Source organism: Homo sapiens, chromosome 17 (genome assembly GCF_000001405.40).
Source record: "Homo sapiens chromosome 17, GRCh38.p14 Primary Assembly".
In the NCBI taxonomy this organism is placed as follows: domain Eukaryota; kingdom Metazoa; phylum Chordata; class Mammalia; order Primates; family Hominidae; genus Homo; species Homo sapiens.
The window spans coordinates 59,744,898-59,772,866 of NC_000017.11; the positions used below are offsets into that span (position 1 = coordinate 59,744,898).

General features: G+C 38.6%; 1 protein-coding gene across 10 annotated transcripts in view, besides 4 other annotated features; it reads left to right on the forward strand.

The window, feature by feature from the left end:
• VMP1 (vacuole membrane protein 1) overlaps positions 1-27,969 on the forward strand; it is a 134,602-nt gene that overhangs the window by 37,244 nt on the left and 69,389 nt on the right. For 8 of the 10 annotated variants that reach the window (NM_001329394.2, NM_001329395.2, NM_030938.5 and 5 more), the window contains one exon: positions 20,074-20,241. The exons of the other annotated variants lie outside the window; for them this stretch is intronic. In NM_001329394.2, the coding sequence (NP_001316323.1) occupies positions 20,074-20,241 (168 nt within the window). The remainder of the gene's footprint in view (positions 1-20,073; positions 20,242-27,969) is intronic. 10 annotated transcript variants of the gene reach the window in all.
• Positions 9,313-10,512: an enhancer, noted in NCBI's record as "MED14-independent group 3 enhancer chr17:57831571-57832770 (GRCh37/hg19 assembly coordinates)". NCBI's record gives its function as "activates an origin of replication core promoter dependent on BRD2, BRD4, P300/CBP and CDK7 cofactors, and independent of MED14, by STARR-seq in HCT116 cells {active_cell/tissue: HCT116}" and the evidence as "EXISTENCE:reporter gene assay evidence [ECO:0000049][PMID:35650434]".
• Positions 9,356-10,198: an enhancer, noted in NCBI's record as "amplified fragment containing the chr17:57831888-57832338 (GRCh37) CAGE region". NCBI's record gives its function as "low expression transcribed enhancer in HepG2 cells {active_cell/tissue: HepG2}" and the evidence as "EXISTENCE:reporter gene assay evidence [ECO:0000049][PMID:24670763]".
• Positions 9,630-10,080: a CAGE cluster, noted in NCBI's record as "CAGE cluster; bidirectional CAGE region". NCBI's record gives the evidence for it as "EXISTENCE:cap analysis of gene expression evidence [ECO:0000309][PMID:24670763]".
• Positions 23,419-23,920: an enhancer, noted in NCBI's record as "H3K27ac hESC enhancer chr17:57845677-57846178 (GRCh37/hg19 assembly coordinates)". NCBI's record gives its function as "activates a minimal SCP1, AML or CMV promoter by ChIP-STARR-seq in naive H9 embryonic stem cells {active_cell/tissue: H9 hESC(naive)}" and the evidence as "EXISTENCE:reporter gene assay evidence [ECO:0000049][PMID:30033119]".

Here is a 27,969-nt window from a genome sequence, read left to right on the forward strand (position 1 = left end):
GAAAAGCAAAAGGAAAACAAAAGATATCACTAGTCTTTATTTTTTAATTGACTGGTTGGGGTGGAAATCAGTTTGCAAGAGGTTAAGCACTACTAACAACAAAAAAGGCAAACATCATTGTCATACTCATGCTAATACTAGCTGGTCAGTTCTTTTATTTTTATTCATGTTTGGTGGCCATTTTGTGGTACCCATTCCTATGGGAAGATTTTGCATCCCTACCTTACTGAACTCCAGCCATATTATTTGCTTTGACCAATGAAATGTGAGCATAAGTGATAGATGTTGCTTGAGATCTTTGTGTTGTTTGTTATTACGTCATAATCTAACCTATCCTGACTGATAGGCAGCTAACATTTATTGAATGTTTACTAGGTGGTAGTCTCTGTGAGCATCACTTTAAATGAATTATCTCACTTAGGCCTCCCAAGAGCCAAGCTAGTCAATAACCAATAGTGTGACAAGTGTAAAAATTTTAATTAATAAGCGTAAACTATTTACTTGTGAACTTTGGCAATTATAGAAAAGAGTAAAATAAGAAACCAGAAGCAAAGCAGAGTCAAAGGTTTCAAAATCTGATCTGGGTTTTTACTTAATAGAAACAATTTCAAATAATCTCTGGTTTTTTTAAGCTTATGCCATTTTCTTGCTGATTAGTGATCAACAGAATTTTATCCTTATTGGTCACCATTTCTTTTCTTTTATATGTAGGAAATGCAGTTGTGTTTAGGATATCCTAATTACACTTACTTTCATTTTCCAGGCTTAACATAATCCTCACTTAGGGAAATGTGACATTCTCATGTTCTATTATGTGCTGATGAAACAGGCACCTCTGCAATATACCCATATAACTAACCCTCAACAAAGAGAATAAATGATCATATTGGGAGAGTAGTCTGGTGAAAAATATGGGCCTCCTTTTGATAACAGTTTGTGGTGAAAAAGAAACTAATTTTAACAGAAAAAAATGTAATTCATTATTTATTATGGCTCTCTTTACTGGAAATCGTAGCTTAAAAGTGAAATATGAATTTTTTTTCTGCATAGGCAAAATTTCCCAATTAGGTTTTTGAAATTTGTGTTTAGAATGAATGATTCCTAGAGTGTGGAAGGTATCTTTTTTGGAAGTATCATTTAGTAAGTTATAATTGGTTGTATACTAGTCACCTAAAAGACTTACTAAATTTCCTAAAATATTAGATACCTACGTGTTTGGCTTTAAAATGGAGAATTTGTCTTAAATTTATCCGTAAACAGTTTCATTTATATTTTTATTTATTTATTTATTGAGATAGCATCTCTCTCTGACACCCAGGCTGGAGTGCAGTGCTGTGATCTCAGCTCACTGCAACCACCGCCTCCCGGGTTCAAGCAATTCTAGTGCCTCAGCTTCCCAAGTAGCTGGAAATTATAGGTGTGCACCGCCACACCCAGCTAATTTTTGTATTTTTAGTAGAGACAGGATTTTGCCATGTTGGCCAGGCTGGTCTTGAACTCCTGGCCTCAGGTGATCCACCCGCCTCAGCCTCCCAAAGTACTGGGATTACAGGCGTGAGCCAACATGCCCGGCAATATTTTTAGATATAACTGAAAGGTTATAACTTGAAATTAAGATATCTTAGAAGTCCTCATCACTTCTTTAAATGTTACAAATAAAAGTTACTGTTTATTTGATCATTAAATTTAATGAAAATCATCAGGGAAAAATTACTAACCATCAAGTTTTGTAAATCGATTTGAGTAAAGTGTAAATCAAGTAATTTGCAGAGACCAAGTACCTAGCCCAGAGGGACAAGTTAAGATACTGTTTATGCAAGAATAGTGGTTGCTAACCAGAAAGGAGGAGATGAAGGGGAAATAAATAAATTTTTTCTGCTGATGGCTTACGGAGAGTTGGTTGGGCTACTAGGTTACTTGCTTTGTTCTATTAATTTTAATAGTTAAAAGGTGGGTTTCAGGAGGCCTGTTAATTTCTGAAAGCACTGTACTTGTTATGTATCATTGCAAATAAGCTTTTTTTCTAGCAAGAAAGAACCTGTAGTATTCATCAGGTTCTCCAAAGACTGTGAAATGTTAAGAACCATTCTTCTACAACTTTTTTCAAAATATATCTATATTTGGCTGCCACTAGGTGGCATTGCTAATACAGCCAATATACTGTTGTATTTGCAGTTTCTAGTCTGGATAAATATATGTGTGTAGAGCAACTTCACCCAAAAACCAAGCCATCAAATGGCTCTACTAAGCCAGGAGACATATTCTGTTATTTACTTGTATTCATGCCTACCTAAAACCAGTCTACGCATGTAAGTAAAAAGAGCATTTCTTAATAGTTTCTCGCATTCGTTCATTAATTAGTTCAGCAGTTAATAGTCTACCTTTCTGGCCAGCTTATGCCTGTAATCCCAGCACATTGGGAGAGGGAGGCAGGGGGATCACTTGAGGCCAGGAGTTTAAGACCAGCCTGGGCAACAAAGCAAGACCCCGGGTTTTTTTCTTTCTTTCTTTCTTTCTTTTTTTTTTTTTTGAGATGGAATCTCACTCTGTTGCCCAGGCTGGAGTACAGTGGCACAATCTCGGCTCGCCACAACTTCTGCCTCCCAGGCTCAAGTGATTCTCCTGCCTCAGCTTAGCAGGTAGCTGGGATTACAGTCGCGTGCCACTACCGCCCAGCTAATTTTTGTATTTTTAGTAGAGATGGGGTTTCACCATGTTGGCCAGGCAGGTCTTGAACTCCTAACCTCAAGTGATCCACCCGCTTTGGCCTCCCAAAGTGCTAGGATTACAGACATGAGCCACAGTGCCTGGCCAAGACCCCATTTCTTTAAAAAAAAAATTATTTTAATTAGCTGGGTGTGGGGGTGAACACCTATCGTCCTAGCTACTCAGGAAGTTGAGGTAGGAAGACTACTTGAGCCCAGGAGTTTAAGGCTGCAGTGAGCTATGATTGTCCCACTGCACTCCAGCCTGTGTTACAGAGCGAAACCCTGTCTCTTAAAAAAAAAAGCCTTTCCAGCCAGGCGCGGTGGCTCACGCCTGTAATCCCAGCACTTTGGGAGGCCAAGACGGGCGGATCACGAGGTCAGAAGATCGAGACCATCCTGGCTAACACAGTGAAACCCCGTCTCTACTAAAAATACAAAAAATTAGCCAGGTGTGGTGGCGGGCGCCTGTAGTCCCAGCTACTCGGCAGGCTGAGGCAGGAGAATGGCGTGAACCCAGGAGGCGGAGCTTACAGTGAGCCAAGATCATGCCGCTGCACTCCAGCCTGGGCAATAGAGCGAGACTCCGTCTCAAAAAAAAAAAAAAAAAAAAAACCTTTCCTTTCGTTTTGATACACATATTTACATGGAGGACATAACTCCTATGGTATGCCCAGTGTCAGGTGTAATACCAAACATACTAACTTTAAGTCCAATCTTTTCTTTAATATTCAGGAATATGCAAGTGATTGAAACCGATTTTGTTAAAAGAATAAAATCTTTCATTAAATCCTTCATTCCTATGATAGGAAATAGGGCCTCTTCAGAGTAAAACAGCTAGGTTTGAATGTCTAGTACAATATTACTAGCTGTGTGATATTTGGCAAATTTCTTAACTTTTAAACCTCAGTCATTCAACTGTAAATGGGAGTGATAATAATAGTACCCATCTCATAAGACTGTTTTGAGGATTAATGAAATTACTTGTACAGTTTTCAGCTCAGTACCTAGTAAATGCAAGGTATTCAATAAATGATTGCTGCTATTATAATTAGCAATATCACTACGCTTACTCTGATTTATTTTTGAAATGTAATAATTTTCAATTTATATGCTTTAGCTGGTCTTAACAAATTAGGAACATTTCCCACAATTGATTTCAGTACAGTGTTATAGAATAATTGAAAACCACTGATCATTTCATTTCCAACAATGATGACTAGGCAATTTGGACCAACTCTCCCATAAAAGTTTCTTAAAAGAGTGGATAAATTTATTATTATTATTATTTATTTTTTTTTTTTGAGACAGAGTCTCACTCTGTCTTGAGTGGCTGTCACAGGCTGCCTCATGCCTGTGATCCCAGCACTGGAGTGCAGTGCTGGATCCCAGGCTGGAGTGCAGTGGTGCGATCTCGGCTCACTGCAACCTCTGCTTCCTGGGTTCCAGTGTTTCTCCTGCCTCAGCCTCCCCAGTAGCTGGAATTACAGGTGCCCGCTACTACGCCTGGCTATTTTTTTTTTTTTTTGTATTTTTATTAGAGACGGGGTTTCACTGTGTTAGTCATGCTGGCCTTGAACTCCTGACCTCGCGATCCGCCTACCTCAGCCTCCCAAAGTGCTGGGATTACGGGCGTGAGCCACCATGCCCAGCCAATAAATTTTTAAATATATGTTTAAAGGTGAGTATATGTATATATGAGTATTTGTATATATGTTTAAAGAGAGTAAAAGAATTATAAGACCAAGATCTAAGTTATACAGAAAACCCAAAGAAGAGAGACTGGCCAAGGATAGGCCCTGATAAACCTGCAGGCTTTGAATTTGAACTCTAAAGGGCCACACTTTAAAAGATGTGATGAACTAGATATAAATCAACTTTCACCGGTACTGAAGCTCAAGTTTAAATAATCTTTTTTTTTTTTTTGAGACAGAGTCTTGCTCTGTCACCCAAACTGGAGTGCAGTGGTGTGATCTCAGCTCACTGCAATCTCCACCTCGTGGGTTCAAGTGATTCTCATGTCTCAGCCTCCCAAGTAGGTGGGATTACAGGCATGCACCACCACACCTGGCTAGTTTTTGTAGTTTTAGTAGAGACGGGGTTTCACCATGTTGGCCAGGCTGGTCTCGAATTCTGACCTCAAGTGATCAGCCCCCCTCAGCCTCCCAAAGTGCTGCGATTACAGGCATGAGCTACCATGCCCTGCCTCAAGTTAAAATAATCTTATTATCTTCTTAGAACTGTGAGTGGCCCAGCCCGTCTACCCACTAGAAGCAAACTAGTCTGGAGGAAAGTAAAATCATCCTAGGTTTTACATGATCTCTACTTAACTTACTGTTGTATTCCAACTGTCTAGAACAGAGCCTAGTACTCAATAGGTGCTCAACAAATATATGTTGAATATATTAATGTAAAATAGAATCTTTGCAAAGCCTATGAGAGATAAAATAATTCGACTTCTTTTATTGGCAAAACAGTCTGTTCCTAACATCTGAGTCTTATTTGTGACAGTTGATGAAAAATGACCTAATCTATATATAGCTTTTTCTTAATTTGCATAACAGTTTTATATTAAATATTAGTAAATCGTTTTATTTCTCCAGCAAATAAGTGCATGTACTTCTTGCTGTGTAAACATTTTATTATGCTCTTTGCATTCAATTTACTTAAATTTAGACAAAAAATAGGCACAATGAATAATTTTTTTTTTTTTTTTGAGATAGAGTTTTGCTCTTGTTGCCCAGGCTGTAGTGCAGTGGTGCGAACTCGGCTCACTGCAACCTCTGCCTCCTGGGTTCAGGTGATTCTCCTGCCTCACACTCCCAAGTAGCTGAGATTATAGGTGTCCACCACCACACCCGGCTAATTTTTGTATTTTTAGTAGAAATGGGGTTTCACCATGTTGGCCAGGCTGGCCTCGACCTCCTGACCTCAGGTGATCCACCCACCTCGGCCTCCCAAAGTGCTGGGATTACAGGCATGAGCCACCACGCCCAGCCCACAATGAGTGATTTTTAAAATAATTTTATTCAACATATGCTAATATGCTTGTCTCTGGTTTATCTTTATAGTGAGGTATATTGTACTTTGAAATAAAGAATATTAAATAAATTAGAAATTAATAGCATTTGTAAACTGCATTTCCTCTGTTTTTAGTTCTTATGCAGGCATATTTTTGTTCATTCATTTGATATCTACCTTGAACAAATTTTGCCTAGCAAGTAGTGCAAGTTACAAATTTCATTCATTTACCTTATTTGAGTTTGTATGTAGATTAGGTGCAAAGAAGCTTCTGGGGCTGGCAGATTTTTCCAAGATAGCACCTTTTTTTTTTTTTTTTTTTTTTTGGAGACAGAGTCTAGCTCTGTCACCCAGGCTGGAGTACAGTGGTGCAATCTTAGCTCACTGCAAACCCCGCCTCCTGGGTTCACGCCATTCCCCTGCCTCAGCCTCCCGAGTAGCTGGGACTACAGGCGCCCACCACCATGCCTGGCTAATTTTTTGTATTTTCAGTAGAGACAGGGTTTCACCGTGTTAGCCAGGATGGTCTTGATCTCCTGACCTCGTGATCGGCCAGGTAGCACCTTTTAAGCACTCTTTTATTGCATATTAATTCCCCAAAATCCATTGACAGATTTATTTTAGTCTTAGCAAGCATTCAGGTTACCTTTTAGAAGATCCAGTACATGAGCGATCAGGAATGCTTATTTATTCTCTCATGTAGCGGAAATTATATCCAGAGTAAGAATAGTAAGTCAATGTTTGCATAAAGAGAACATAGCTGCTGTTGACCTCTTTGGTTCATCTCTATGCAGCCAGTTTTTGTGAGTCAAAATTTCTATCTTAATAATGGTCTAGACCGGGCTCGGTGGCTCATGCCTGTGATCCCAGCACTTTGGGAGGCTGCGGTGGGTGGATCACCTGAGGTCAGGAGTTTGAGACCAGCCTGGCCAACATGGTGAAACCCTGTCTCTGCTAAAAATACAAAAATTAGCTGGGCGTGGTGGGGGGGGCGCCTGTAATCCCAGCTACTTGGGAGGCTGAGGTGAGATAATTGTTTGAACGGGGGAGGCAGAGGTTGCAGTGAGCCGAGATTGCGCCATTGCACTCCAGCCTGGGCAACAAGAGCAAAACTCCGTCTCAAAAAAAAAAAAAAAAAAAAAAAAGTCTAACCTAGGGCTACAGAGCATACCTTCTCTTTTTCATTTTCTTTTATCTTCGTTTCTTTTTTGAGACAGGGTTTCTCTCTGTTGCCAGGCTGGAGTACAGTGGCATGAATATGGCCCGCTGTAGCCTCAGCCTCCTGGGCTCAAGAGATCTTCCCACCTCAGCCTCCCAGGTAGCTGGGACTACAGGTGTGCACCACTACACCAGCTGGGTTTTTTTTAGGGGTAGAAACGGGGTCTCTCCATGTTGCCCAGGCTGGTCTCAAACTCCTCGGTTCAAGAGATCCTCTCGCCTCAGCCTCCTAAAGTGCCGGGATTACAGGCATGAGCCACTGTATCCGGCCTCACTTTTTCTGTAAAGGATCAGATCCGTAGCTATTTACACATCGTGGGCTATCCAGTCTCTGTGCAACTACTCAGATCTGTCACTGTAACGAGAAAGCAATTATAGACAGTACATAAATGAGTGAATGCGGCCGTTTTCTGGTAAAACTTTATTCATAAAAACAGGTAGCAGGCTGGATTTGGTCTGCAGTTTGTAGTTTGTTAACCCCTGCTCCAACTCATTGAATGACAGTAGTACACCGGAAGAGACATAGTGAGCCTGGGAGCCTTAATGAGAGAGCTAGCTGTCTTCTAAGGATTTTTGTATGACATCTGTGTATTTGGTTCACCCATTTGCCAAATAAGTACTATCATTTCTCTCTTCTTGATCAAGAAATAACAGGTTTCACATGATGCTTTAGAAAAGAATATAGTTGTGCATATATGAGTTGTATAAAAAAAATTAAGAGTAAAAAGAAAAAGCTTTTTTGAAGGGAAAAGCAGAAGAATTTCTTCTAAATGAGCTGTCTGATGACAGGAAGATTTGGTTCCAGTTTCATGTAACCACTGGTATGTTCAATTCCTCTTAAATACCAGATTTTACAAGATTGCAACCATTTTGAGGAATAAATAACTTATGGATTAAGTTTAGATGTCATGTGTAGGATGAACAGGTCTAAAGATCTAAGGTACCACTGTTGTAAAATTACAATGGATTAGGGATTTTTGTTAAGTAGATTTTTAGCTGTTCTTATTTTTAAAAAGTAACTATGTAAGATGATAAACATGTTAATTTGCTTTACTATAGTATAACCATTTTGTTATCTGTATGTATACTATAACAACATATTGTAAGCCTCAATTATGCACAATAAAATTTATTTCTAAAAAGCTTAGGCCAGGTGCAGTGGCTCGCACCTGTATTCCCAGCACTTTGGGAGGCCAAGGCAGGAGGATCACTTGAGGCCGGGAGTTCAAGACCATACCAGCCTGGGCAACCTAGTGGGACCCCGTCTCTACGAAAAAAATTTTTTAATTAGCCAGGTGTAGTGGCATGCTCCTGTAGTCCCAGCTACTCAGGTGGAGGTTGAGGCCAAGGTTGGAAAATCACTTGAGCCCAGGGAGGTTATGATCGCGCCACTGCACTCTAGCCTGGGCGACAGAATGAGACCCTGTCTCAAGAAAAAAAAAAAAGTTTAGATGTTGTACACAATTAGGAGAAGTGATGGGGTTATTTCATTAGCCACCTTGTAATTATTTCCCACTAATAGAAATATGATTCATAATTCTGTAATTAACCAGGTTAACAAAAACAGGAACTTTGGTACTTGATTATGAGAAATGTATTCTGGACATGCTCCTTATATGCATGTACATTATGATTCATCAAGTTACAAGACAAAAAGATGATTAAAGAACCATTTGTAAACTGTATGTAACATTAAGGATTTATAAAGCCTGTTCTTAATAGCAAAGGAGTCCATGGGCTACAATTTACTCTCCTATATAATGTGATGTATGTACAATTTTTGACACTAGGTGGAGCAGTTTCCTGGCAAAAGACTTCACAAAGCCCCATATCCCTTTCAGTTAAGCCCAGCTTCTAGACAAAGAACTGTAAAGAGAAGAAAAACGATCGACAATCATTTTATAATTTAAAAACATACCCAAATATTTAGCTATAAGTAGAAGGCTGAATATATTTTACAATTTTTCTGTTTGCCATATATTTTAACCATTGGATTTTCTCATGTTTAAAGTGTTAGTTTTACTTTCTAGAAGCAGTTTGGAAGTAGAAAAGTTGGGAACTATTCAGTTACATTGTAGAATAGATCAGGTTTTATTAGAAGCTGTAACATCAAGGTGTTATCCTTTGAATGATATCTGTGAGCCATTTTGTTTCATATGACCATTTTTATAGAAAAAAAGTACTTTTTGTTATAAATTAGATACAAAGAAAATTGTGAGATACGTGCCCCTGTGTAAGATTCAGAGCCTGTTTCTGCTTTAAAGTTTGGGATTATTTCATTATTAAAATATGTGTTAAAAATTGTACATTTACCCTGAAGTACAGGTCAATTGATGACTAAAAAGAAAACAAAAAAAATTATACATTTAAAAAATCTGACATCTTAATTGCTTTTTCATATTTATGACCTCCTCTGTATATGGCACCCTAAGGAGGAAGTACTGTATAGTATTCTGCACTTTTTAAAAGCTGTTTTTTCCTTAGTATAGACATTTCTGATACTTTTTGACTCTTGGCTATTGCTAAAAGTAAATATTATTTGGAAAACTGCATTCATATGGGTTGAAATAAAATAGTGAAATAGTTTCAGTAAGTGAAATATTGTAGTAGTTAATACCATAAAGTGGAATCATTCTTTTTTTAAAAAATTGTTAGCCAGCTTCTTCCCTATCAATTCAGCTTGACTTCTGACTATTGCTTTATTGCTCATTTGTCTATCCTCCTTTTAAGACAAAAAAGAAATTACCAAAAGTTAAGGCTGTGGTGTGACTTGATACCAGATGCTTATAACTATGGCTATAAGCATGCAGTGACTCAGTGCTGTTTCAGGAAGACCAACAGACCCTTCTTAGAAAAAAATCTATTTGCCTTTTGTTTGATGAAGGCATGAAAGCTCTTCTCCCTGTCTTTCCCTAAGGAATGACTCATATATTAACTCTGCTGAGCATCACCACATCAAAAGAAGAAACCAAGGTCTTCAGGACATCAGGCTGGGTTTTTGCCAAGGAAAAGGGGTATGCACAGACTGGGTAACTTCCTGCCCTTAAGTTTATTAATGTATGCTTAAATGAAAGCCAAGAAAATTTAGTTTAGCTTAAATTTGTTGTTGAGCATACATTTTAAACAATTTATACTAGCCCCCCCCGCCCTTTTTTAACAGCTCTCATAAATATGTAGTTCATTTCTCTTGAATACTTAAGTCAACTGTATGATCAAAAGTTGCTTGGGTCTAGAGAACAAAGGTGAAACATGCCTTCTTTTTCTTTTTCTTTTTCTTTTTTTTTTAGACGGAGACTCACTCTGTCTCCCAGGCTGGAGTGCAATGGCGCGATCTTGGCTCACGGCAAACTCCATCTCCCACGTTCAAGCGATTCTCCTGCCTCACCCTCCCGAATAGTTGGGACTACAAGCATGCGCCACCACACCCGGCTAATTTTTTGTATTTTTAGTAGAGACAGGAGTTTCACAATGTTGGCCAGGCTGGTCTCGAACTCCTGACCTCAAGTGATCTGCCCGCCTCAGCCTCCCAAACTGCTGGGATTACAGGCGTGAGCCACCACACCTGGCCAAACATGCCTTTTAATATGGATTAATTCAATATAATAAAAATAGCTTCAAAGACAGTACCTTATAACTTGGAGCATGAACTAATACTATAGAGTTCATATTTCTTTTGTTTTGGCCAGCAATTTTATATTTGCACTTTTATAGTATAATCTCATATTTCTACCCTGTGACCTAGGTAACAAGCATTATTAGGCTTTTTGTTAAACAAAGGAAGAGATAGAAGTTACCAACAGTAATTTACCAACAGATTTAGAAAACTGAAATCCACATTAATGCATGCCCCGGTTACTGCTTTTTGACAGTTTGTTTCTTTGTTTTTTGTTTTGGTTTTTGGTTTTTTTTTTTTTTGAGACAGGGTCTTGCTCTGTCGCTCAGGCTGGAGTGCAGTGGCATGATCATAGCTCACTGCAACCTTGAACTCCTGGGCTCGAGTGGTCCTCCCATCTCAGCCTCCCAAGTAGCTGGGACTACAGGCATATGCCACCACACTGGGCTAATATTTTTTCTTAGTAGAGACGGAATCTCACTGTGTTGTCCGAGCTAGTCTCGAACTCCTGGGCTCAAGTGATCCTGCTGCCTCGGCCTCTCAAAGTGTTAGGATTTCAAGCATGAGACACTGTTCCCAGCCTGTACTGCATTTTGTAGAGACCAGAGGCATAACTTGGGACCTTCTTCACAAAAAGAATATAAACACTGGTTAAACTTGTCAGTGCCCATTGGGAATCGATATTTTACACTCTAGCCTTCTAGAATTATTTGCTGTAGACCATAACCTTGTTTTCTGACTCTAATGAGAAAAACAATGATTAAAAAAATTCTGAAGAGAATTCCTGTGTTTGCAAAAGGGTTTCTGAAGTCCCCTGAAAGAAAACAAAGGTTTTGCAAGTCATACAAACAACCATTTTTCATCTTTTTTTGTTTATTTATCACCCAGATATTCCTAATGAATCACATTCCAGACTAACCACTGACTGCTTTTGTTCCTTAGTGAAGAAGTATGGCAAATAAATGTTTTCCCAGTGAATCAGCACAGGATTCTTGATTTTATTACCTTTGCCCTAAACTTTCCAGACAAAACTAATTGGAAATTTTGCCTTTGGGATCTCACTTGACTTCTGTGTATAGATGATGGATTAGGCTATGAATTGACATTACAGATGTTGTCCAAACAACTCCAGTCTTTAGGAATGTTTTATCAGTTCTGAGGGAGCCGTCTAGAGTGGAAGAATGTCTGTCTGTCTGTTTTGTCTGCTTGCCTTCCTTAAAAATACTCATACACACACAACACACATTCTGCACTCTTAATGTGATGTTGTAGTCTTCATCTCGGTTGATAAGTATACTTGCCTGAATTAGGCTAATAATTAATATGAACATTTTAGGTCTTTCGTTTTTAAAAGATATCTCTGTAAGACAGGACCCTAAAGTAAACCCAACAGTATTCTGTCTCTGGTCTTTTGGATGGTATACTGTTTTTCTTGATGAAACATAGACATGAGTATAACCTTTTCAGTCCTTTAAATGCTACAAAGTGTGTGAAGAAGGTACAATTATAGTAAATCATGAGCCGCTGTAGTATAAATCCAGAAAACTTGAAAAGTTCAAAATCCAGAAAATGTTTTACTTAATATTAAGCAGCAGTGTACATACTGATTTATCATTTTACTAATATGATTTTTTCACAAATTCAAGTATGAATATATTCACCCCTTTCTTACTATGACCCTAATTAGTGTTTGTGGCACAAGGATTTCTTTCTCTGGGCTTAACATAGATACTATATTATTATCAGAAAACTACTTAAAACTCTTCACTACCAGATTAGGATGGAGATAGATAGATAGATAGATAGATAGATAGATAGATAGATAGATAGATAGATAGATGTGGTTTTGTATAATTTTACCCTTCTAGGACAATTTTTTTTGAATTCTAAGTTTCTCTTAATTAGAAGAACTAGTAGTGTATTGTTATTCTTAAAGCTAGAGTAAAAATTGATTACATAGAATTAGTTTGGTTTTTTTCTAATCACTAAAACTTTTCTAATCACTAAAACTCATGAAAGAATGTAAATCATGGAAATGTAACTTTTTAAACTTATGTAAAAAGAGTTTTTAAAAGATAAAATATCTTTTTCCACAGACAAGTACCTACATCTGCTCTTACTAGAAATCTTACCCTTTCATCTAAGTATAGTTTGCTCTCACCCAGACATACTCCTGCCTGGCCAAGCACTACATCTTTTATCCTGGACAAGGCAAAATTATTCCATTACCAATCTTTGGAAAATATAATGTAATACAGCTCATGAGACTAGATATATGGAACTCTGAAATGAAGCAAATCCAGATGTCCAATATGTTGCAAATAACCAAGCTATCTTGTTGATTTAACTTCGTCTAGAATAACTATACTGAGTTACCAAAAATAAAACAGACCTTTATTTGCCACTTTTTTTTTTTTTTTTTTTTTTTTTAAGACAGGGTCTCATTCTGTCACAGTGGCGTGATCTCAGCTCACAGCAACCTTGAACTCCCAGGCTCAAGCAATCCTTCCACTTCACTGGGACTACAGGTGCACACCACCATACCCAGCTAATTTTTTGTTTTGTTTTGAGAGAGAGGGTCTCTCCATGTTACCCAGGCTGGTCTCAAAACTCCTGGGCTCCAGTGAGTGTCCCGCCTCAGCCTCCCAAAGTGCTGAGAATACAGACATGAGCCACCCTGCCTTGCCTATTTGCCACTTTAAGATGTACTCCCTGTATTGATCTTTACCTTGCCACATGTCACATCCTTTTAAATGTGTTCACACTCATTTTATAGCACAGCAGATGGTCTGTCTTGGCAAATATTCCATGTGTACTTGAAAATAATATATATTTGGCTCTTGCTGGGTGGTATTTTCTATGTTATTCAAATCTTCTGTGTCCATACAATTATCAGTGTAGTTGTTCTATCAATTAATGAAATATAGATGTTGACGTTTTCAACTATGTATGTGCCAGGCATGGTGGCTCACCTCTAATCCCAGTACTTTGGGAGGCCAAGGCAGGAGGATCCCTTGAACTGAGTTTGAGACCAGCCTGGACAACATAGGCAGACCCTGTCTCTACAAAAAATAGAAAAATTAGATGGGGCCAGGTGTGGTGGCTCACACCAGTAATCCCAGCACTTTGGGAGGCCTTGTTGGGAGAATCTCTTGAGCCCAGGAGTTTGAGACTAGCCTGGGCAACATAGGGGGACCCATCTCTAAAAATAACAAAAAAAAAATTATCTGGGCCAGGTGCGCCGGCTCACACCTGTAATGCCAGCACTTTGGGAGGTGTTGGTAGGAGGATCCCCTGAGCCTAGGAGTTTAAGCAACACAGGGAGACCTGTCTACAAATAATGAAAAAAAATTAGCTGGGCTGGGCACTCTGGCTTACACCTGTAATCCCAGCACTTTGAGAGACTGAGGTGGGTAGATCACTTGAGCCCAAGAGTTAGAGACCAGCCTGGGCAACAGGCAAAACCCCACCTCTACAAAAAATTAGCCAGGCGTGGTGGTGTACACCTGTAGTCCCAGCTACCCAGGAGGCTGAGGTGGGAAGATCACCAGAACTCTAGAGGTTGAGGCTGCAGTGAGCCAAGATCTTGCCACTGCACTCCAGTTTGGGTGATGGAATGAGAGACCCTGTCTCAACAACAACAACAACAAAATTAGTTGGTTGTGGTATCTTGCGCCAGCAGTCCCAGTTGGGTGGATCACCTGAGGTCAGGAGTTCAAAACCAGCCTGACCAACATGGTGAAACCACATCTCTACCAAAAATACAAAAATTAGCTGGGTGTGGTGGCGGGTGCCTGTAACCCCAGCTACTTGGGAGGCTGAGGCAGGAGAATTGCTTGAACCCCAGAGGCGAAGGTTGCAGTGAGCCAGGATCGTGCCATTGCACTCCAGCCTGGGCAACAGAGTGAGACTCTGTCTCAAAAAAAATAAAATAAAGAAATTTCTAGCTATAATTGGGGATTTGTTCATTTCTGTGTTCTGTCAGTTTTTGCTTTATGTATTTTCACACTCTGTTATTGGTTGTATACACATTTAGAATTGGTCTGACTTCCTGAGAATTAGACCTTTTATCATTTGTTCCTATGAATCTCTGTTAATATTCTTTGTCATTAAATCTACTTTGTCTAATATCAATTTAGCTACTTTATCTTTTTTATGGATTTTTTAAATGGTTTTTCTTTTCCCATTTCTTTACTCTTTCTTTTCTGGGTTCTTAATATTTAAAGTGGGTTTCTTATAGACAGCGTGTACTAATCCAGTGTGACAGTGTCTGCCTGAATTTATACATTTGGTCCATTTGCAATTAATGTAGTTATCAATATGATTGGGTTTAAGTCTACCCTCAAACTGTTTGTCATATCTAATTTTTCATTCCTTTTTCTTTTTTCTCTGCCTTCTTTTGGACTGAGGATTTTTTTGTTTTGTTTTGTTTTGTTTTGTTTTTTGGTGTTTTTTTTTTTTTTTTTTTTGGTATTGAATTTATTTGCTTGTTTGTTCTACTTCTTTTAAAATTTTTAGTGGTATAGCTAGGTGTAGTGATGCATGCCTGTGGTCCCAGCTACTCGGGAGGCTGAGGTAGAATCTCATGAGCCTGGGCAGTCAAGACTCCACTGAGCTGTGATCACACTACTGCCCTCCAGCCTGGGCAACAGGGTAGGACCCTTTCTCAAAAAAAAAAAAGAAAAAAAAAATTAGTGGTTGTCCTAAGGTTTGCAATATGCTCCATTAACTTACAGGGTGAACAATGAAGTATTGTTTTCTCATTTTGTATAAAATATAACAACCTTATAATAGTGTTCTTCATTTCCTCCTCCCATAATTTATAATTTATGCTTTAGTTGTCATACATTTTACTTCTTGTATATTTTACTTCCTCATATGTCGTAAATCCACAGTACTGTTTTGAAATATATTTTTTTGAAATATATTTTCCCTAGCTCCCAGATTCACAGGTATTTTTTTCTTTGACATTTTAAAGAAGTAATTCTGATGTCCTGTGGTTTGCATTATTTCTGATGAAAAGTCTGACCTATTTTTCCCTGTAGATGTTTTATTTTTATCTACTCTATTGTTTTTAAGACTTTTCCTCTTGTCATTGAATTATAGCAATTTCATTATGACATGATTGTGATGATTTTTAGCAGTTTGATTATGTTTTATTTTCTATTTTCTTTTTTCTTTTTTTGAGATGGCATCTTGCTCTGACGTCAGGCTGGAGTGCAGTGGCGCAATCTCGGCTCACTGCAATCTCCGCCTCCCGGATTCAAGCCATTCCCCTGCCTCAGCCTCCCGAGTAGCTGGGATTACAGGTGCGCACCACCATACCCAGCTAATTTTTGTATTTTTAGTAGGGATGGGGTTTCACCATGTTAGCCAGGATGGTCTCAATCTCCTGACCTCATGATCCACCCACCTTGGCCTCCCAAAGCGCTGGGATTACAGGCGTGAGCCACCATGCCCGGCCTATATGTTTTCTTTTCTTTTCTTTTTTGTGCTGGCATGCAGTGTTGAGATCTCAGCTCACCGCACCCTCTGCCTCCTGGGTTCAAGCGATTCTCCTGCCCCAGCCTCCCCAGTAGCTGGGATTATAGGCACTTGCCACCATGCCCGGCTAATTTTTTGTATTTTTAGTAGAGACAGGTTTCACCATGTTGGCCAGGCTAGTCTCGAACTCCTGACCTCATGATCCACCCACCTTGGCCTCCCAAAGTGCTGGGATTACAGGCGTGAGCCACCGCACCCAGCCCATGTGTTTTATTTTCTTTGTGTCGATCCTGACTGGATTTGTTCAGTTTCTTAAGTCTGTGGATTGATACTTTTCATCAAATCTGGGTCTGTTTCTATTGAGCAATATTTCTTTTGGTTATGAGTTATAATTTGCTGCTTCGCATATCTAGTAATATTATATTGAGTGCTAGTAATTTTTAATTGAATGCTAGATATGTAGTATTAAATTGTTGATTGTATGGATTTTGTCTTCCACTATAGAACATTGATGTGGGGGGAGGGTGAAGGGGACAATTAAGTTACCTGTGGATCAGCTTGATCTTTTTAAGACTTGTTTTAAACCCTGTTAGGGTCAGACTAGAGTAGCTTTCACCTTAGGACCAGAAGGAAAGGTCGTACCTACCCAGGCATGACCTTTCTGGGTTGAATGCTGAGTCTCTCTACTCTAGCTGGTTGATCACAAATGTTTCCCAGGCCTGTGTGAACTCTGGGAATTGGTCAGTTTACAAATCCCCAGTAATTATTCTTTTCCCAGTAGTTCTTGTAGTTCTTTGCCTGGACTTGTGGTCTCACCTTAGCATGCAATGCAGCTTTGTGTGCCAGAGTCTGAAGGGGACCCCTGTGCAGATTTCTAGAGTTCCTTCTCTGTGTAGCTTTCTCTTTTCTGGTATACTGCCTCATAAATTCTGACTGCCTCAGCCTTCTTGAATCCTGAACTCGTGAACCCCAATCTCATTCTCAACTCGGCAGGAGCAACATGCTTTGTTTGGGCTCTTGCTCTTTTGACCATGGAATTTTTGGCAGGCATGGAATGTGTCTACAGACAAGAAGCCAGAGTCAATGTATGGTTTCTTCATTTTTATCCCTTCTCTTAGTAATCAAAGCCCTGTACTGCCTGTAGTACAATGTCTAAAAAGAATTGTCCCATATATTTTGTCCAGTTTTCTAATTGTTTGCTATAGAAATGAAAGTCTAGTATCCGTTACTTCATCCGCCGTGAGACAGAAAACCTTCAGCCATAGACCAGGATCCCTAACCCATGCTCCCACAAGAGTTGGAACCTGCTGCTCAGTAAATATATAAATTTTATATCCTGTGGCAGGTTTTATCCAGTTAGGCTTTTCAATTAATACTATAGCTGTTTGGGTCTTTACCCTCTTGTTTCTTTGTTTAGTATGGTTAAAAATGTGACTCATATTTGCTACATTGTAGTGAGACTTGTAGTTTTTAGAAAATATACTTTAAAAGTAGTTTGAATTATGTGTAACTTTTAAAACTTTTAATCAAAAATTTTTTTATTTGAATTTTTCATATAAACATATTTTTTCATTCAAATCGGTTATATTTAAAAACCATTAAGCTAAAATGTTGAATAGAACTTGTGAGGTTTCCTATCACTTAATATAGTTTAAACTATGAACAAAGGACAAGAAACTGAGTTGTTAATGTTCATTTTGTCTGGGAACCACCACATCTGCCTCAAAGGCTGAGTAATCATGACTTACTAGTGTGGTTATGGAAAATATATGTCAGTTTAGTTGAGTGAATGAACAGACTTCTTTAGAAGAAAGAATTCTCAAATCAGAGACTTGAAAAAACATTCTCAAATCAGATTGTTGAAAATTTCCCTTTTCAGAATAACTAAAAATGAAAACTATAAAGAACTTTTATTTTATTGGATAATGTGTTTAATCTGTTAGGATACATTTTTTATATTTCTGGAATGCAAATATAGCTTTTTCTTTCCTATCTATCCCAGAAATCTCATTATTTTAGCTCCCAGAGCAATTTATTTTTGTTCACTTGAAATTCATTTCTAACTTTAGCTGTAGACTACCTGTAGCCAAAGAGGACAGTAACATGGGGACAGCATGGACAAACTCTTAAATTTTCTTCTTTTTCACTTATTGGCATTCATATGTCTCTTTTGTGTTTTCTAATAGTAAAGGTGGAAGTTACAGCTGATTTCTTCTTTTTTTTTTAATTATGTCTGATAGCTATAATTGTATGAGGAGAAATGTTTCACAAACTATGCAGTTATTCTGAATATCACAAACTTTGGGGTTTTTTTGTAGTATCACAAAATAATTCTTTTTTCCCCCAAGTGTGAAATCTCTTGTGTGCACCTGGCATTTAAAGAAATGATTGTAGATTTCATGGTTAATCATAAGTTTTCAAAAACCTAAGTAGTCAAAGTATTTTCAAAATCTTATATAATTATTTTAATACTTTAATATTTCTGCATTTCCAAGAATTAAAAGTCCCCAAAAAGAGGAACAAAGGCTAAAACTTCACATCGATTTTTTTGATCCAGAAAAAACTAATAATTAACTGATTCAGTTCCAAGGATTTCATTTTTTAGGTATTATTTTAACAGAAAATGCCGATTCTATTTAGAGATAAATATCACATATGTGTGAACAACTTTGTATATTAACATCAAACAAAATTTTATTATCTTGATAGTAGAATGTCTTAGTTTTATTTTTATCACTAGATTTTATGTACTTTGAACCACAGATTCTTTCATCAAGTGATCTTAAAATACTTTCTTATACACAGAGCCCACTTACTTTTCTGTGGGACTGTCTCATTTATGAAAAATCATTGGAGAAATCTTTAATAGAAACCTTCAGATTCAGAAATACTTGCACAATATAATTAGTAATAAAATCTCGTGTATATATATGTAAATAATTTTATTCTACAAATAAAGTATTTATCTTCATAATAGCTGATGGCTGCTAGTTACTGTATGCTAGAGGACATCTATCAACCTATGCTTAAGGGACCCAGGAATTTATATTTTAACCAACTCCCTAGTATGCAGACACCTCATCTTGTGCTTTTAGGAACCATTGTGTAAAACTCATTGATACTGGTTTCACAGTTACATTTTTGCTTTATGATCTCACTGGGAAAGGTTACATGAGGTGGTAGATCACCAGCTGTTTTTAAGTAAGGACGTAAAGTGATATTCTCAAATTGTGCCTAAAAGAACAGTGGCTCAGGAAGTTTTTTTTAATAAAAGGAATTATCTAACAAATGAGAAATATAGATAAATAAAATAAAAGTCAAGCAAGGAATTAGATCAGTGGTTGCCGGGGACTAGGACTTGAGGGAGGGAATTGGCCACAGAGGAACACAAGGGATTTTTTTTTATAAGGGATGGGGCCTTGTTCCGTTGTCCAGACTGGAGTGCAGTGGCACAATCATAGCCCACTACAGCCTCCAACACCTGGGCTCAAGCAATGCCTCCTACCTCCTGAGTAGCTGGGACTACAGGCACATGCCACAATGCATGGCTAATTTTTTAAATTTTTGTAGAGATGAGGTCTTGCTTTGTAGCCCAGGCTGGTCTTGAACTCCTGGCTTCAAGCAGTCATCCTGGCTCAGCCGCCCAAAGTGGTGGGAATACAGGCATGAGCTGCTGTGCCTGGCCAAGGGATCATTTTTGCAGTAATGGAAATGTTCTGTATCTTGATTGGTGTGGTTATATGGCTGAATATGTTCGTCAAAGCTAATTGAAATGTAGACCTCAAATAAGTGACTCATTATGTGTAAATTTTACCTCAATAAATCTGATTTTTTTTTAAGTCAACCAGGAAGAGATTCTGGGAAGGATTATTTTCTTCATATTACTAACTGCATCTTGAAATTATTTAGAATTATTTTTGTTCTTTGAAAGCTAAGATTTTTCTTACACAGTAATTAATATATTTTTAAAATAATGTGTATTGATAATTTTTTAATAGTTCTTATCAGAAGTTTCTTGTATTTGTTTTATAGGGTCCACATATAGCCTCAGTTACATTAGCTGCTTATGAATGCAATTCAGTTAATTTTCCCGAACCACCCTATCCTGATCAGATTATTTGTCCAGATGAAGAGGGCACTGAAGGAACCATTTCTTTGTGGAGTATCATCTCAAAAGTTAGGATTGAAGCCTGCATGTGGGTAAGATATGCATTTTCATATTTGTTTAAAACTAACCTCACCATCTTGATAGTGTGTGTACCTTATTGAAATGGAATCTAAACATATTCCTTGTCAGTAAATGATTCAGTCAGTAACCAGCTACCTACTTCCAAGGCAAAAGAAACCTTTTAGAGCATCTCCTATTCATGAATGGCATTGAGAAGAAAGGCATGAACCATATGTATCACAAAGCAACTGAGGCCAAGTAGACTCCAGCAGGGCAAGGGAGTACAGATGATGGAACCACAGTTGAGCCTTGAACCATGTGTGGGTTAGGGGTGCCAACCCCCTGTGCAGTAGGAAATCCACATATAACTTTTGACTCCCCAAAAACTTAACTGCTAATAGCCTACTGTTGAACGGAAGCCTTAATGATAAATAGTAGATTAACACATATTTTGTATGTGTTAATACAGTATTGTATACCATATTACAAAGAAAATTATAAGGGAAAGGAAATATATTTATTATTAATTAAGTGGAAACGGATCATCATTTCCACTCCATTTTCATGTTGAAGAGGCTGAGGCTGAGGAGGAGGCGGAGGGAAAGAAGGGGTTGGTCTTGCTGTCTTAGGGGTGGCACAGGCAAAGGAGGTGGAGGAGGTAGATGGGGAGCCATGAGAGGCACACCCATTATCACTTGTACTGGCACAGTTCAAATCCATGTTGTTCAAGGGTCAACTGTATACTACATTATAAAATTTGTTCTAGTATTTCTATACCTGATAAACTTTTAGAATTTATCTAAGAGTTATATAAAATATATATAAATATTAGATTGGTAATATATAGTTATATATAAATATTAGATTGGTAAATGTCATATGTCTTACTTTTTTTAATTTAAAATTTTACTTTTATTTATTTGGCAAATAAAAATTGTGTGTGTGTATATGTATGTATGCATTTATTTATTTATATATTTATTTACTGAGACAGGGCCTTGCTCTGTTGCCCAGGCTGGAGTGCAATGGCGCCATCTCGGCTCATTGCAGCTTCAACCTCCTGGGCTCAAGTGATCCTCCCGTATGTCTTACTTTTAGATTAAAATACTGTGCTCTGGCTGGGCCTGGTGGCCATCCCTGTAATCTCAGCACTTTGGGCGGCCAAGGCAGGCAGATCACTTGAGGCCAGGAGTTCGAGATCAGCCTGGTCAACATGGTGAAACCCTGCCTCTACTAAAAATACACAGATTAGCCGGGCGTGGTGGCGCATACCTGTCATCTCAGCTACTGGGGATGCTGAGGCATGAGAATTGCTTGAACCCAGGAAGTAGGGGTTGCAGTGAACCGAGACCCGCCACCGCTCTCCAGCCTGGGCTACAGAGCGAGACTACATCTCAACAACAACAAGAAAATATTATGTTCTTAGAGAACTCATTTCATTTTCTGAGTTATTATAATGCTAACTAAAGTAAGGTCAGACATTTCTTAATATAAACCAAGCCTTATTATAGTGAACGTATCAGGCTGTATGATCGTATATGGCAATTTTACTTTCAGTTGTTCCAGTTATTCTTTTTGTGGTTTGCTTAAGTTTATTTTACAAAATTCTTTGGACAGCATGTTAAGTGGCAGATGGATTCTAATCCACACAATTTTTTTTGTGTGCCTAAATTTTTTTTTTTGCTTTTTTTTTGAGACAGTCTTGCTCTGTCGCCCGGGCTAAAGTGTGGTAGCGCAATCTCGGCTCACTGCAACCTCTGTCTCCCAGGTTCAAGCAATTCTCCTGCCTCAGCCTCCCCAGTAGCTGGGATTACAGGCACCCGCCACCACGCTCGGCTGATTTTTTTGTATTTTTAGTAGAGACGGGATTTCTCCATGTTGGGCAGGCTGGTCTCGAACTCCTGACTTCAGGTGATCCACCAGGCGTGAGCCACCTCACCCAGCCCTGTATGCCTAAATTTATTCAGGCATCCGTAGGAATAATTCATGGGTTAAAGATTTCTTTTACCATTTGAGGTTTTTTTTTTTTTAACTCATTGGGATTTGTTATGTTCCTGTAATTTTTTCCCACTAACAATTTCTTAGGAAATTAAAGATTATGGAACAGATCACTTACAAATCTTAACTCATTAAAATGAGCATGAATACCATACCCTCAGGAGAAGCAGAGTTTTGAAACACAGTTAAGTGTTAGCAATTGTGTTCTGCTTTAAAAGAATTATAAAGGAAATACCATCATGTTGAATTTGTTGAATATGAAAGACAGGAAAAATTGTCATGTTTCCTGTTGCTCTTTTATAAACACTGGAAACAAATTTATTATACTAGTTGCATATGCTTTATAAATTTGATGACATTAGTCTTTTGATGAAAAAAATGTTAGAATAACAGAAGATACTTGGAACATGCTAGAAAAGGGACTTTGTATGTAAATTTGTCTTTTTTTCTTAATATTATACTTTTGTTCTTCAAAAATTATTTACATTGCTGGATTAACCTTAAGGCCAACAAATGAAAACCACTATCTCGGCTGGCTGTGATAACTGCCTCCTCCAAATTTCTGTAGTATATATTGTCTGTAGTGCTTATTAGGCCTGGCTTTACACATGCTTTAAATTAGTTAATTTGGCTGGTATGGTGGCTTTCTTCCCCAAATAATATTTAGGATCCTAAAAAATATTAAATATACCTTAAAAGTATTAGCATCATAGTAATCAGCATTAAGTTTTGCACATAGGGCTGGGCATGGTGGCTCACTCCTATAATCCTAGCACTATGGGAGGCCGAGGTAGGTGGATTTGAGACCAGCCTGGCCAACATGGTGAAACCCCATCTCTACTAAAAATACAAAAAATTAGCTGGGCATGGTGGCTCACACCTGTATTCTCAGTGACTTGGGAGGCTGAGGTAGGAGAATCACTTCAACCCGGGAGGCAGAGGTTGCAGTGAGCCAAGATTGCACCTCTGCACTTCAGCCTGTGCAACACAGCGAGACTCCATCTCAAAAAAAAAATTAATTAATTTTTTTGAAAAAGTTTTCCATGTAGTATAGGAATGTCAATAAATACTGATTAATAGGTCAAATGTTTGCTCTTCTTTCCTTCTTTGTAACTGTCTCGTTATATTAAAAATACAGCACACACTAAGTTATGTTTAAATTTGTTAATATTGTTCTCAACATTTACAAGGACAGTCTTCAACAAATGGTGCTGGGGACTGGGTGTAGTGGCTCACACCTGTAATCCCAGCACTTTGGGAGGCCAAGGCAGGTGGATCACCTGAGGTCAGGAGTTCGAGACCAGCCGGACCAACATGGTGAAACCCCATCTCTACTGAAAATATAAAACTTAGCTGGGCATGGTGGTGGGTGCCTGTAGTCACTGCTACTCGGGATGCTGAGGCAGGAGAATCGCTTGAACCCAGGAGGTGGAGGTTGCAGTGAGCTGAGATCACACCATTGCACTCCAGCCTGGGCGACAGAGCAACTCTCCATCTCAAAGAAAAAAAAACAAGGGGGATGCTGTAAAAACTGAATATCCACATGCAAAAGAATGAAGTTGGACCCTTACCTTACACCATATATAAGAATTAATTCACCGGGCGCGGTGGCTCACGCCTGTAATCTCAGCACTTTGGGAGGCCAAGGCAGGCAGAGCATGAGGTCAGAAGTTCAAGACCAGCCTGGCCAAGATAGTGAAATGCTGTCTGTACTAAAAATACAAAAAAAAAATTAGCTGGGCATGATGACAGGCCCCTGTAGTCCCAGCTACTTGGGAGCCTGAGGCAGGCGGCTCACTTGAGGTCAGGTGTTCAAGACCAGCCTGGCCAACGTGGTGAAAGTTCATCTCTACCAAAAATACAAAAATTATCCGGGTGTAGTGGCGCAGGTCTGTAATCCCAGCTACTCAGGACGCTGAGGTGGGAGAATTGCTTGAACCCGGGAGGCAGAGGTTGCAGTGAGCCAAGATTGTGCCACTGCACTTCAGCCTGGGCAACAGGGTGAGACTCTGTCTCCAAAAAAATATAAATAAATAAATAAAATGAAAACTTTTTTTTTTTTTTTTTAAAGACAGAGTTTCGCTCTTGTTGCCCAGGGTGGAGTGCAATGGCACAATCTCACTCACTGCAACCTCCGCCTCCCAGGTTCAAGTGATTCTGACTCAGCCTCCTGAGTAGCTAGGATTACAGGCATGCGCCACCATGCCCAGCTAATTTTTTTGTATTTTTAGTAGAGACAGGGTTTCTTGGTGAAAAAGATAGATTTTTTTAATTCCTGCTCTCCAGATTTTTATCATTAAACTTACATTTCTTAATATAAAAGCACCTTGCTGCAGATTTGCTTGTGAGTTCACTTGACAAAATGTTTTTTCCCTACCTCACCTGACAAAACTTTTTAAAAGTACAAATTCAGAATTTTTGTCTTTGAATAAATCTTTGAATGAATCTTTGAATAAAATTAGCACTCCAAGAAGATGCTGTGTTATCAGTTGGTTTGCATATTTTGTGCATATTAAACTCTTCTCTAGTTTAAGAAGGATTTAAGGGTAATAAATTTGTATGTAGTAGATGGTTTGGAGGAGAGCTTTCTGAATTATTGCTTGACTGTACATACCACTTATTTTGCAGTAAGGAAGCCAGTCATTCTCTCTCCTTAATTAAACTTAGGCTGACAGTTTTCAGTGTTCCACAATTTATGTTTTGTTTTGAATATAAACAAATGTAAAGAATTTTGTATCTTATACAAATATATATTTGAATTTTATAGAGAATCATAAAATTGTAAGGATTATGAAATGATGAGACTTCAGTATCTAATTTGAGATAAATAAATGTCTGTGTCTAGGGTATAATGTGTTTTGGGACACCTGCCTGGATGACTAAATTCCCTTGTTATTTATTTGCATAATAAGAGAGTACTGACTCATGATTCCCATTGTTTCTTGCTAATATGGGAAAACACTAGGAGAATTAAACTAAAATATAACAGTAAATATAGTCAACTACGTATAAGACAGTATACAGCCCTTGATTTCATTTCAGTCCATTATGTTACTTCCTTCTTAACTTTTAGGAAATTTGTCATGAGCTTCAATCACATGATTGCTTTAAGAACTGTTGAACATTTGACTTAACATTTGAACTTAGGAGAAGTTCATGTTTTGAGTAAGATGTTACACTTTCTGTCCTACTTTTTTCTATGGAAGATTTTCCAAAGGTGCAGAGAATTATAAAATGAATTTAATATACTCTCACTCAAGTTCAGCTAGTATTAACTAATAGTTTATATTGTTGTATCTATACCCTTTCTCATTCTCTTCTCAATTATCTTGAAGCTGATCCCAGATATCATAATACACATCATCTGTAAATATATCAGCCTTGGGGCCTAAAATGCATTATCACACCTAAAAGAAACTGTAGTAGTCTCTTAAAATTCATTATCCAATTAGTGTTCAAATTTTTCTGATTACGTTTATTTCTTTTTTTTTTTTTCTGAGGTGGGATCTTGCACTGTCACCCAGGCTGGAGTGCAATGGCACAATCTCATTTCACTGCAACCTCCTCTCGTATTCCCACAATTCTCCTGCCTCAGCCTCCCGAGTAGCTGGGATTATAGGCGCACACCACCATACCCGGCTAATTTTTTGTATTTTTAGTAGACATGGGGTTTCACAATGTTGGTCAGACTGGTCTCAAACTCCTTACCTAGTGATCCTCCTGCCTCAGTCTCCCAAAGTGCTGGGATTTTATTTCTTTTCACATTTATGCTGAAGAAACTGTTAAATAATTTCCCATGGTCTGAATTTTACTGACTAAATTCTAATTAGTATAATTTAAGCATGTTGCTCTGTTCCTTGTGTTTCCTTTGAGTTGATAAATTGTGTTTTTTTTTTTTGTAAATAGGAATACACTCCATAGCCTTGTGTATTTCTATCACGAGATACAATGTCTGTTTGTCCTTCCTTTTTGTGATATTAGCACCATGGATGATTTTTTATTATATATGTCCATTATTTTATTAGAGGTTATAAAATATTAGTATCCCAGTTACATTACACCTTTTTTTTTTTTGAATTATTAACTGGAGACAGGGTCTCACTCTGTCACCAGGCTGGAGTGCAGTGGCACAATCACAGCTCACTGCAGCCTTGACCTCCCAGGCTTAAACAATCCTCCCACCTCAGCCTCCTGAATAGCTGGGACTAAAGGCACAAGCTACCATGCCAAGCTAATTTTTTGTAGAGGCAGGGTTTTGCTGTGTTGCCCAGGCCGGTTTTAAACTGCTGGGATTACAGGCATGAGCCACTGTACTGGGTCTGAAATAATACTTTGATGAAGGAAAACTTTTCCTTGTCACTAATTTAGTTACCCCGAGATATAGTTTATATCAGAAAAAGATAAATACTTGATCTTTATTATACCAGTTTTTAAAATAATAAGTTGGTTCTCTAGCATCCTCCAAAGTTGGCCAACATTACAGTGTTTTTTGGTTTTTTTGGTTTTTTTTTTTTTTTTTTTGAGACAGAGTCTCACCTGTCACCCAAGCTGGAGTGTAGTAGCATGATCACAGCTCATGGCAGCCTTGACCTCCTGGGCCCAGGTGATCCTCCTACCTCAGCCTCCCAAGTAACTGGGACCACAAGTGCATAATTTTTTGTAGAGACAGCCTCATTATGTTGCCCAGGCTGTTCTTGAGCTCATGTACATAAGCAATACACCTGCCTCAGCCTCCCAAAGTTCTGGGATGATAGGTGCGAGCCATGACGTCTGACCAACTTTTCTTATTTAGCAATATATATGATTTGGTTTTTGCCTATATCCATGTATATATGTCTCTCCTGCCTTCTCTGTCTGTTTTTTGACTAAATGTAGGCTTAATCTTTTGGCAGTTAAGTATTCTTTTTCTCTTTTTTCTTTTTTTTTGGAGATAGAGTCTCGCTTTGTCACCCATAAGCTTGCTGCAACCTCTACCTCCCAGGTTCAAGCAGTTCTCATGCCTCAGCCTCCCAGGTAGCTGGGACTACAGTCACGCACCACCATGCCCAGCTAATTTTTTGTATTTTAGTAGAGTTGGGGTTTCGCCATGTTGCCGAGGCTGGTCTCAAACTCCTGAGCTCAGGCAGTTCACCCACCTCGGCCTCCCAAAGTGCTGGGATTCCAGGCGTGAGCCACTGTGCCTGGACTCTTTTTCAAAATTCTTGTTTCAAGTATGGATAATGTAGTTACACGTGGAAATTGTTGGTTCCACCCATTGTGAATACAAAATATTTGAATTTGATTTGGTCCCTTGGGAATTCTTTTCAGAGCATTTGGAGGCAGAACCATAAGACAGAGCAAACTGAAATGCTTAACATTGCTTTTTAAGAACTAGCAGAGCTTGGCTGGGCGTGGTGGCTCACACCTGTAATCCCAGCACTTTGGGAGGCCGAGGCGGGTGAATCACCTAAAGTCAGGAGTTCGAGACCAGCCTGGCCAACATAGTGAAACTCTGACTCTACTAAAAATACAAAAATTAGCCAGACGTGGTGGCACACACCTGTAGTCCCAGCTAGTAGGGAGGCTGAGGCAGGAGAATTGCTTGAACTTGGGAGGCAGAGGTTGTGGTGAGCCGAGATCGTGCCATTGCACTCCAGCCTTCGTGACAGAGTGAGACTTCATCTCAAAAAAAAAAAGAAAAAGAAAACTTATTCATCCTAATGTTTAGTTTTCAAAGGGCTTTCTGACTACAATTTGTTAAAAGTTTTAACTCAACAGAAGAA